Source organism: Homo sapiens, chromosome 10, assembly GCF_000001405.40.
Source record: "Homo sapiens chromosome 10, GRCh38.p14 Primary Assembly".
Lineage (NCBI taxonomy): Eukaryota > Metazoa > Chordata > Mammalia > Primates > Hominidae > Homo > Homo sapiens.
Window position 1 is genome coordinate 93,305,997 of NC_000010.11, and position 12,152 is coordinate 93,318,148.

Genomic DNA, 12,152 nt, shown 5'->3' on the forward strand with positions numbered 1-12,152 from the left:
GGAGTGCAACAGGGCAATCTCGGCTCACCACAACCTCCGCCTCTTGAGTTCAAGCAATTCTCCTGCTTCAGCCTCCCGAGTAGCTGGGATTATAGGCATGCACCACCACACCCGGCTAATTTTGTATTTTTAGTAGAGACGGGGTTTCTCCATGTTGGTCAGGCTGGTCTTGAACTCCCAACATCAGGTGATCTGCCCGCTTCGGCCTCCCAAAGTGCTGGGATTACAGGCGTGAACCGCTCTGTCCAGCCAACTGTTAGCTTTTATTTACAATGTTATATTCAGTTTGACCTACTGGCTAAAATTGGGCAGCATATTTATAAAGGGTATATGGCCAAGAGGTATGCCAGGGCATTCTCTTCACTGAAAAAACAAGGCCAGAAAAATGCCTCCTTCCTCACTTGACCCACAGTTACAACAAACAGCCAGGTGTAAAGGTGAAACATTTTTATTTAGTTTCATTACAGAGGTTAAATAGACTTTTATGACATCCATACAAAATATAGCAATGGTTGTGGGCATAAATAAGAATTGTTCTAACTATTCTAACTGATTTTATAATGCACAGCTCTTTCAGTTGATTACAAATATGAAGTATATCACCTCAGGATGCAGAGATTTTTGAATTCTATTTAGCAATTTCCAAAAGCTGAAGTCTAGAACCGAAGACACATATAAAAAGATGATTTTTAAATGGAACCAGCCACCTTGAAAAATATTTTGAAAAACATGATTTAAACTTTAGAAAATAAAACTTTTAATACTTAAGAGATAACATGATGCAAACGTTGCTTGTTGGCCTGACTTTCCAGGACTAAGACCCTCTGGGAATCAATGGGGCTCGGTGACATGGCGTAACCTGCTACTGGGGTGTGGTCTCAGACACAAAATCACACTGGATGTTGGTCTACAGAGGCAGGATTCTCTCATTGCTGGATGACTCTTGAAATGAAGCCTTTGCCTTTGTTACACATTTGGCTTTACAATCTTCATTGACAAATAGTTCTGGAAAGGAAACAAAAACAGTGGTAAAAAAACATGTATGTATATATGTTTTTCAGTTAGGGTTTCTCAATCTTGAGAAAAAATTGACATTTTGAACCAGATGATTCTTTCTTGTTGGGGAGTGTCCTGTGCATTGTAGGATGTTCAGCAGCTTTCACTGGCCTCTACCCACCGAGTGCCAGTAGCACCCCCCCGCCAAGTTGTTGCAACCAAAATGTCTCCAGACGTTGGCAAATGTCCTCTTGGGGGTGGGGAGCAAAAATCTCCCCTAATTGGGAACCACTGGTTTATTTTTATTTTTATTTTTTTTTTGAGATGGAGTCTTGCTCTGTCGCCTAGGCTGGAGTGCAGTGGCGCGATCTCGGCTCACTGCAACCTCCGCCTCCCAGGTTCACGCCATGCCATTCTCCTGCCTCAGCCTCCAGAGCAGCTGGGACTACAGGCGCCTGCCACCATGCCCAGCTAATTTTTTATATTCTTAGTAGAGATGGGGTTTCACTGTGTTAGCCAGGATGGACTCTGTCTCCTGACCTCGTGATCCGCCTGCCTCGGCCTCCAAACATGGTGGGATTACAGGCGTGAGCCACCACGCCCTGCAGTAACCACTGGTTTAAACCAATAGAATTTTTTTTTTTTTTTTGAGACGGAGTTTTGCACTTGTCACCCAGGGTGGAGTGCAGTGGCGTGATCTCCAGTCACTGCAACCTTTGCCTCGCAGGTTCAAGTGATTCTCCAGCCTCAGCCTCCCAAGTAGCTGGGATTACAGGCGCCCACCAACACGCTCTGCTAATTTTTAAATTTTTAGTAGAGACAGGGTTTCACCATGTTGGTCAGGCTGGTCTCAAACTCCTGACCTCAGGTGATCCGCCCGCCTCAGCCTCCCAAAGTGCTGGGATTATAGGTGTGAGCCACTGTACCCGGCTGCCAACAGAATCTAAATCAGGAAAAAGAATTAACTAGACCGGGTGCAGTGGCTCACACCTGTAATCCCAGCACTTTGGGAGGCTAAGGCAGGCAGATCACATGAGGTCAGGAGTTGGAGACCAGCCTGGCCAACATGGTGAAACCCCGTCTCTACTAAAAATAAAAAAATTAGCCGGGCATGGTGGTGGGTGCCTGTAATCCCAGCTACTTGGGAGGCTGAGGCTGGAGAATCGCTTGAACCTGTGAGGCAGAGGTTGCAGTGAGCCAAGATTGCGCCACTGTACTCCAGCCTGGGTGACAGAGCAAAACCCCATCTCAAAAAAAATAAAAAATAAAAAAAATAGAAGTTTTTTAAATGGTCAAGACAGTTGGACTGGGACCGAATGTGGTGGTTCACACCTATAATCCTAGCACGTTGGGAGGCTGAGGTGGGTGGATCACTTGAGGTCAGGAGTTCGAGACCAGCCTGGCCAACATGGTGAAACCCAGTCTCTACTAAAAATACAAAAATTGGCAGGGTGTGGTGGCAGGCACCTGTAATCCCAGCTACTCGGGAGGCTGAGGCATGAGAAATGCTTGAACCTGGGAGGCGGAGGTTGCAGTGAGCCGAGATCGTGCCACTGTACTCCAGCCTGGGTGATAGAGTGAGACTCTGTCTCAAAAAAAAAAAAAAAAGCAGTTTGACCAGCTACGACTGTATAATAGTGTACATATACTCATAGATGACAAACTAGAAGTACTATACTGGGGAAAAATGAAGACACAAAACCCCTGCTGCTTGTATGGCTACGATACTATTTTTTTGAGACAGAGTCTCACTTCTTCATCCAGGTTGGAGTGCAGTGGTGTGGTCTCAGCTCACTGCAACCTCCGCCTCCCAGGTTCAAGCAATTATCCTATCTTAGCATCCCTAGTAGCTGGGATTACAGGCATGTGCCACCACACCCAACTAATTTTTGTATTTTTAGTAGAGACGGGGTTTCGCTATGTTGGCCAGGCTAGTCTTGAACTCCTGACCTCAAGTGATTCACCCGCCTCGGCCTCCCAAAGTGCCAGGATTACAGGCATGAGCCACCTCGCCCAGCTGATATTATTATTAATGTGTTTTTGGAGTAAGAGCTTTTGAATGTCTCCTGTGACATTCAGTGCCACTGGCCCAACTTCTGAGCATGGCTTCCTCTGCCTGGACTATCCCTTCTCCACTTGGCAAACTTGAATGTCCCCTCCTTGGAGGAACTGTCTTAGCAGGGGGTGCCCACGGTTGTTTGTTTCTGTCTCCATAACAGCTCACCTCCCTTAGTCATGTGTCCTTGTTCCCGTGGCTGCCTGTTCCCAGAATATGAACTGCTCTTGGGCACAAATCATGCCAATAATTTAATCATCACTATAACTTAATTCCTAGCCTGTCGTAGATGCGCAATACATCCTCTGGATGGAGGAAGGGAGGTACTACTTCTAGGCAAGCTGCCAAATCTCCCACTTGGACTCCCGTTTATGACTGGGGTGATTAGGGGAACATTTAAGGGGGAGGTTATACGTGACATGAGCCTTAAAAAATGAGTGAGGTTTTGATAGATAAATGTGGACAGAGAAACAAAATTGGCAAAGGCATCCAGATAGGTAAGGGCAATAATATTTGGGGAGGTTGGGATCAATGATCTAGTTTGGGTGGAACACAAGGTATATGTAGACCCACAATGAACCCAGATTTGGGGATTCTTGAAGCTAGGACAAGGAATTAGGATGCAGGATGGTTTGGAACAAGAAAGTCTGAAGGCAGGAAGATCAGCTGGAAACGCTGGCCATAGTCCAGACACACACTGACCGAGACCTGAGTGATTTCTCCTAGAATTCCTGAAACCAAAGTTATTTTCAGATCATAAAGAAAAGTTCTGCCCGTAATTTGTGAAACCCTGAGAATGTGATTCTAATTACAAGACACATTACTTTAAATTTCCCCAAAGCAGAAGGGTTACAACCCCATGCTGCTGAGCGGGTCATTCTTCTGCACAGTGGTCAGGGCAGATGCCAAGGGAGAGGACCAACTGCAACTCACAAGAAAGCCAAGACAAGGGGCCAAGGAAGGGCTCCTACCGGCAAAGAGTAGAGGAGCACGGCCACGAAGAGCAGCAGGATAAGCAGGAACAGCAAGCCGATGATGACCCACTTAAAGCGGCGCCACACGATGAACTTCATGGTCTTGCATGGGTTGGTGAACCAGAGGAAGGAGGTTTCTGGTCGACTGCATTGCAAAGAAACAGTATCACCTACCCAACTCAGGAGGGATGCATATTTTATTCCAGAGCATAACACAGTTTCAGGAATAAAGAATCACATTAATAAGGTCAAGAAAAAATACTGTTCCCCTTCGTTGACTGAGAAAGGCTCTTTAACCTACGACAGCTTCCTAAGATGCTGAACTTTGGTTTCCTGGAAAGGAGAATTCTTAAAATGAAGCCAGATCACCAACCTCTCCACCCCCACCCACCACTATTAAATACCAGATTAGGAGGACCACAAAAGCTAATCCATCCCATTAAGCCAATGGGAAGGGGGGCTCTCAGCCTGCAGGTGTTTGGGGAGTGGGAGAACAAAGAAGGCCTCTCACTTTGGTAAGTCCAGCTTGGGGTTCATGTTGGGTTCGTCCCGCCCCTTCCCGGCTGGCCTCTCGTCGGCCTCCTTCTCGTTGAGGATTTCCAATGTCATCTCCACTTTCCCCTTCAGTAAAGCAGAGCAGGTTAAACATATGACATCATGTTTCACAAATATTTTTACTTCAACCCAAGGAGTATTCCCCGAGCAATGATTTTTATTCTTGTAAAACAATCCTTAGATTGCCTTCAGTTTTCCTCAAGAGATTTCATCCCATTTCCTCTTCCATGTGTTTCTGAACTGACTCTGTGTGGGAAACTTTGAGGACAAATTGCTTCCCCCACTCCCTACTTTTCATTTTCTGTATCCCCCTCACTCTAACATTCTCACATTGGTCTCCTTGTCTCCCCACACACCTTCCTATGTAACTTCACTTGGACCCAGACTAACCTGAATACCACTAATAACAATATCTAACATTTATTGAGCATTATTGTAGGCTCCCAGTAAGAGAACAGAGCCATATCTCTTCATGCCTATCAATCATTGTCACCTACTGTGCACAGTGGCTGGCATTCAGTAGGTACTCCATGTACACTAGCTCAATAAATGAATGAATGAGTGAGTGAATGAATGTTTTCTCCCTGCTCACGGGTTCCTGAGTGATGTTCCCAGCACCGTTTAAATGTTCTACATGGGTTATCTCATGTAATGCTCATGGCAACCCTACAAAGGTACTATTATTGTCCTCATGTGCAAATGAGAACAGTGAGGCCAAAGTGAAAGTGGTCTAGAAACTTGCCCACTTTTGGCTGGGCGCAGTGGCTTATGCCTGTAATCCCAGTGCTTTGGGAGGCTGAGGCGGGAGGATCACCTGAGGTCAGGAGTTCAAGACCAGCCTGGCCAACATGGCGAAACCCCATCTCTACTAAAAATACAAAAAAAAAAAAAAAAATTAGCCAGCATGGTGGCGTGCGCCTGTAGTCCCAGCTACTTGGGAGGCAGAGGTTGCAGTAAGCAGAGATCGCACCACTGCACTCCAGCCTGGGTGACAGAGTGAGACTTCATCTCTAAAAAAAAAAAAAAAAGCAACAAACCTGCCCACTTTTATAGTGAGCCATACCTAAGATTGTAACAGACTTTGTAACAGACTTTCTAAGAGCCAGGAAAGGCAGCAAGGTCACCAACAATTTGGGAAGCCCTGGCCCTGAGTAGAGCCCTGATGACCTCTACCCTTACAAGTCAGACAAAGCTGGGTTTCTGACTTTGGCAAGTTGCTCCATCTCTCCAAGACTGTTTTTGGAATCGCTAAAGTGGGGACAATGTCTACTTCATGGCGTTGTCAGCAGAACTAAGTGAGGTTATGTGCAAACTGCTGTATTGTAACGGAAAGCAGGTCAGTGGTTTCCTGGGACCAGGGAGGGAGGGAGCAATGGACTGCAGAGAGAGAGCACAAGGAAATTTTGGGGGTGATGGGAAGGTTCTGGATCTTGATTATGGTTCAGTGAGTGTCTACATCTGTCAAAAGTCATCAAATTGTGTACTTTAAATGAATACAGTTTATGTAAATTATACACCAAGGTTGTTTTTAAAAAGATTATGAATGTAAGGTACTTGGCATGCTGCCTGGTTCAAAATTAATGATCAAAAATGTTAGCTATTTTTAATAATGCATAATGAACTAGGTAGTCTTTCGTGATATGGCATGGTAACCCACACTATTGCTTCTAGATCAAAATACATCTTGAGTTCCTCAACTTGCTTGTAATTTATGGCCTTCTTATTCAACTAATGCCAGCACACCTTGCTTCTTCCACCTCTCTTTTTTTTCTTTTTTATTTTTTTTGAGGCAGAGTCTCACTCTGTCACCCAGGCTGGAGTACAGTGGCACGATCTTGGCTCACTGCAACCTATGCCTCCTGGGTCCAAGTGATTCTCGTGCCTCAGCCTCCTAAGTGTCTGGGACTACAGGTGTGCACCACCACTACTGGCTATTTTTGTTGTTGTTGTTTTTGTATTTTTAGTAGAGACGGTGTTTTGCCACGTTGGCCAGGCTGGTCTCGAACTCCTGACCTCAGGTAATCCACCTGCCTTGGATTACAGGCATGAGCCACCACACCCAGCCCTACCTTTTTTTTTTAATGAGAAAAATTCAAATGTGAAGTTCCCTTTTCCATACGAAATTGTACTAGAAGCCTAGCATTAATTAACTTCCCTGATGAAGAAGAAAGGAAAATATAGTGAAACCACCTGGGCTTCTACTTTTTGACCATTCCAACTTCTTCACCTTCCTCCAACTCCAAACACATGCTCACAGCATCTCCCACCTTATATTGTAAGACAAAGGCAAACATATCCCAAAGACAAACTGTTCCCATAACTTAAACTCCCACCAATTTAAAACTTCCTCATTTTATCTGGAGTAAGTCTATGGATAAAGGGCAAAACCTAAATGATAAAAGGCATAAACGATTTTCAACCAGAACCAGGAAATGTTCATACAGCCATTACGCGGGCGCCATCTTTCTCTGCGTAGCATGGCCACCATCCTTTCATGGACTTCTGCTCAAAGAGGGAGGCTGTCTTGGCTTTAAGGGGGTTCATGGCTTTGAGGTCCGGAATCATGTCCAATCTGCATTTCTCTGGTGATTTTGCAGGAATGATCGTGTGACGCAAGTCAAGTTCTAGGAAACCTAGCCAAGGAAACAACAGTAAGTCCAAATGAGCTTCAAGTGGATCAGCTGTTGTTCACAAGTGAACAGAACGTTCTTATCAGGAGAGAGGCACACAGTGATTTTGAACAGGTAAATGGTGAGTTAGAGAAAGGGAGCCTGGTGGACATTTAAAGTCTTTCCAGTTAGGAAGGAAAATGGCCGAAGAAATAGCCGTCCACTGCACAGCATCTCCTGTTTTCTTTCTCAAAGATATGAGCATAAACAGAGTTCTTTAAACTCAAAGTAATGAAATATCTACAGACACAATTTTCACTCAACTCAAGGCCCTTGGATGTGAAATGTTTTCCTTTTAGTTCTGAGCTGCCCTGAGCAGAGAGGTCATTTGGCTTTGGGTAAAGACAATAGGTGCTTAGAACACAGGATGCTGGCTGGGCAAAGTGGCTCACGGCTGTAATCCTAGCACTTTGGGAGGCTGAGGTGGGCAGATCACTTGAGGTCAGGAGTTCAAGACCAGCCTGGCCAACATGGTGAAACCCCGTCTCTACTAAAAATATAAAAATTAGCCGGGCACGATGGCACACATCCGTAATCCCAGCTACTCAAGAGGCTGAGGCACAAGAATCGCGTGAGCCCAGGAGGCAGAGGTTGCAGTGAGCAGAGATCGCACCATTGTTCTCCAGCCTGGGCAGCAGAGCGAGATTCTGTCTCAAAAAAAACAAAACAGAAAACCAACACAGGATGCTGCATGAAATGTGCATGTCCAAGACTCTCCTAGTAAAACCTCAGAAACAGAAGCTTGAGAAGGAACATGACTCAACAGAAAACGCTCACCAGGAACTGAGACTCCTAGCCTCAATCAGAGTGTCTGGAGAAGCACATTGTCCCTTCTATGATGTAAGGCATTCACTCTTTTTGAGACTGAGTCTCTCTCTATAACCCAGGCTGGAGTACAGTGATGTGATCTCAGCTCACTGCAACCTCCGCCTACTGGGTTCAAGCGATTCTCATGCCTCAGCCTCCCTAGTAGCTGGGACTACAGGTGTGCACCACAATGCCCGGCTAATTTTTGTATTTTTAGTGGAGACAGGGTTTTGCCATGTTGGCCAGGCTGGTCTTGAACTCCTGACCTCATGTGATCCACCCACCTTGGCCTCCCAAAGTTCTGGGATTACAGGCATGACCCACTGTGCCCGGCCACATTAACTCTTTAGTACCACTTCCACGGTAAGGGAAAAGTGTGTTTTGGGCTTGGGAACTCCTGTGAGCCCTTTCCTTAAGAAAATGGTATCTGTGATGTGGGGTCAAGTCTATGGATGACTGGGGCAAGAGTCTGGCCTTCAGCAGTGGCAGCAAAGAGCAACAAGGAGGTTGTGGCATTTTCTCTTTAAACTGTCAGGCTCAGGGACTACCCTTCAGCATATAGTGGACCCATAAGACACGTGACCTTAGCCTTTCTTGACCTATGACTGCTTTTGTCTCCCCTCTCCTTTTGGTTATGTGCTCACTTGGCATTTTGAGACACAGTCATTCTCTTTATTTGTTGTCTGATAGTTTTGTTTAAATTCCAAGGGAAGGCCAGGCATGGTGGCTCATGCCTGTAATCCCAGCAATATTGGGAGGCCGAGGTGGGCAGATTACTTGAGCTCAGGAATTTGAGACCAGCTTGGGCAACATGGCAAAACCCTGTCTCTACAAAACATACACAAAATTATCCAGGCTTGGTGGCACGTGTCTGTGGTCCCAGCTACTTGGGAGGCTGAGGTTGGGAGGATCGCCTGAGCCCAGGAGGTGGAGGTTGCAGTGATCCTAGATCATGCCACTGCACTCCAGCCTGGGTGAGAGAGTGAGACTCTGTCTCAACAAACAAAGCCAAGGGCAAACCCTTTATTATCCTAGAATTTACTATCCATATACTTTATGTAAGCCTACTTGCATACTCATTTATTTGCTGACCTCTTAACTAAGCACTTAGTCAAAACCATTGCATTAGGTACTGTGCGGGGAAAAGGGATAAATAAGACACAGCCTTTGGTGGGTGTTTCCTCTGCCAGGAGGGACCCCTGGAAGCAGCGTGGAAACAGGGAGACCAGTCAGGGGCTACTGTAACATGTGGCTAGCAGAAAGTGAGTTTCAACTGGCAAGTGGCAGAGATCACAGGACTAAGAAAATAAGTGTGCGTGATAAAACAGATGACATTGCTAGAATGGAGTGGCTGGCGGGGCGTGGGGAGAAAAGAGAGGAGGAAAACCACAGAGGACTCCGGGTGCTTTCGCCTGGGTGGCTGGGGAAATGGAGGGGTTGTGAGCTGCTAAATAAGTTCCTGAGGAGAGCAGGGGTGAGGTCAGGGAAGAAATGCTGAGTGAGATTTCAGTCACAGTACAGGCTCACTGCCAGCCAGATATAAAGGTGGGAGGTTCTGGCCAGGAATCAGGAATGACCCTCACAACGATTTCCTTTGACTGTACTGCAGGCACTATGAGAGCGCAGGCTACACGTCCTGGTTTAGGAGCCATACTTTGTGGAAAGGTGAGAGTTGAAGCATGACCTTCCACTGAGGTGAGAGTGGGTAAATCCTTGGAGGGGGTGGTTGGCGGGTTGGAGGAGAGCAGAAGAACCTCAGGGAAGGCCTGTATTCAAAAAGTGGGAGGCTGGGCGCTGTGGCTTATGCTTGTAATCCTGGCACTTTGAGAGGCTGAGGTGCAAGGATTGCTTGAGCTCAGGGGTTCAAGGCCAGCCTGGGCAACATAGTGAGACCTCGTCTGTACTAAAAAGTGAAAAAAAAAAAAAATTAGCCAGGTTTCGTATGCCTGTAGTCCCAGCTACTCGGGAGGCTGAGGTGGAAGGATTTCTCGAACCCAGGAGGTTGAGGTTGCAGTGAGCTATGATCGTGCCACTGCACTCCAGCCTGGGTAACAGAGAGACCTGTCTCCAAAAATAAAAAAATAAAAAAATAGAGTGGGATGCAGAAACAGAGCTGGCTAATGTGACAAGACCAGAGCCTGGGAGAGTGAAAATCTGGAGAGCACAGTGCCATGGGGGGCGAGGGAGGAGTGTGCCAGGAGAGGGAAGGGCCCGGGCTAAGGGTGCATTGAACTAGTGCCCTTACCACAGAGGAGAATGGGCCTAGGGACAGGAGAAATGGCGGGGGGGTTGGGGACCTTGGTAACTTGGGAACAGGTTGAGGAGGGTAGGAGCTGATTCCCAGGTGCTGAGGAGAGAGTGGCTGGTTTGAAAGTGGATGTAGGAGTGTGGCATCCCCCTGCAGAAACAGGACTTGAGTCTTCACAGACAGACAGGAGCTGGTGCAAGACCCTCACCAGAGCCCTTGAAAAGGGATGGCACTCACTGTCAGGCTGCACTGCCAAGAGCTCACACAAGCACTGGGTGTATCCCCTGTCCCCCCACCAGGCCCCCATTACCAAAAAGTATTGAAGATTTAAAGAATTGCTTCCAAGTTTTCATTGACCCCACTAATTCCAAGTACAGTTTCTTAGAAACAATGATCCAAATGTAAGCCCTACCCAAGTAGTCATCCAGAGAAAACTTGTCATTGTCCCATATCTGAATGATCAGCCTGGGTGGGATTCGAAATTCCGTTTGGTCAATACTCCAGAAATGCTCCTAAAACAAAAAGAAACATGATCATGATGACTCTGAAACACTCACCTTTGGCTCCTTAAGACAGCATCAAAGCCTGGGGCCTTTCTCTCCTTTGCACCCCCACCCTGACACTCCCTTGGGCCTAAATCCTTCCACTCTATCTGTACAGAGAGCAGTCAGGCTCCCCAGGAAATCACAAGCTGGGCAACTGAAGGAATGTCCCAGGTTTTTCCCAAAGAAGATTTCCTGCCATGTCCCTATCAGTGTGACTTCCCGCTGCCACCTGGGGGTTGGAGAGTGACTCATCTCCCCACCAAAGACCACTATGTCCTATTTAGATTATCCTCCTAAGGCCAGGCATTCTAGATCAGCCCACAGTATCACCCACCGGGGTGTCACTTCTGCTCAGCAACTTTCTACCCACCCTCCCACCCACACAGATGTCTGAGTATGCTCTCATTTTACATGGGGGTAAGGAGACTGGGGCCCAGATTCTACTTCTGCTCTTTTATCAGTGCAGATTTAGAATGTCTGGGATTTTTGGCCTTTGAAAAATACCATTGGGCTGGGTGCAGTGGCTCATTCCTGTAATCCCAATACTTTGGGAGGCCGAGGGGGTAGATTACTTAAGGCCAGGAGTTTGAGACCAGCCTGGCCAACATGGTGAAACCCCGTCTCTACTAAAAATACAAAACATAGCTGGGTATGATGGTGCATGCCTGTAATACCAGCTACCTGGGAGGCTGAGGCACGAGAATCACTCAAACCTGGGAGGTGGAGGTTGCAGTGAGCTGAGATCATACCACTGCACTCCAGCCTGGGCGACAGAGATTCCGTCTCAGAAACAAAACAAAACAAAACAAACCACTGGCTTTTGTTTGCTTGTGGTCACTTAAGACCCTCAGATCCTCATGCTAGAGGTAGGTTGAAGGAAGACTAGGTAAGTGTCCTTCAAGTTCTTGCCTCCATTGCCTCAGACAATGTTAACTAAGACTAAACATCTTTACAGCTCAGGTACACCTAAGTTCCTCTGGCCCCAGTGAAAAGGGAATTTCCCAGTGTTTCATGAATTTGAAGGAAGATTACTGGGTTGTTTTTCATATTCCAGGAATGTTTTCCTTTGCAGGGCTCAGAAAGCCTGGCTCTGAGGGGCTCGGCAGCCCACTCTGCTGTTATCTGTTGCTGCCTGACTGTCCTGGGTAGGATCATGCTCCAAGCACCACAGGGTGTGGGGAGGTCTGGCCCTAGATGTGGGTAAACAGGAAAGGTAACCATACCTAAAGCCCTGATCCCCACCATCAGCCCTGATGCCACACCATCTGAAAGTGTGCATTTTTGATATCACATTGAGCTTCT

At 46.8% G+C, this 12,152-nt stretch overlaps 1 protein-coding gene across 9 annotated transcripts in view; it reads right to left on the reverse strand.

The window, feature by feature from the left end:
- Positions 1-432: 432 nt before the first annotated feature.
- Positions 433-12,152, reverse strand: part of MYOF (myoferlin) — a 175,906-nt gene continuing 164,186 nt past the window's right edge. For all 9 annotated transcript variants that reach the window (XM_047425049.1, NM_133337.3, XM_005269694.6 and 6 more), the window contains 5 exons: positions 10,718-10,817; positions 7,024-7,214; positions 4,538-4,647; positions 4,024-4,171; positions 433-1,005 (listed from right to left, as the gene is read on the reverse strand). In XM_047425049.1, coding sequence (XP_047281005.1) covers positions 967-1,005; positions 4,024-4,171; positions 4,538-4,647; positions 7,024-7,214; positions 10,718-10,817 — 588 coding nt within the window. In that variant the 3' untranslated portion in view covers positions 433-966. The remainder of the gene's footprint in view (positions 1,006-4,023; positions 4,172-4,537; positions 4,648-7,023; positions 7,215-10,717; positions 10,818-12,152) is intronic.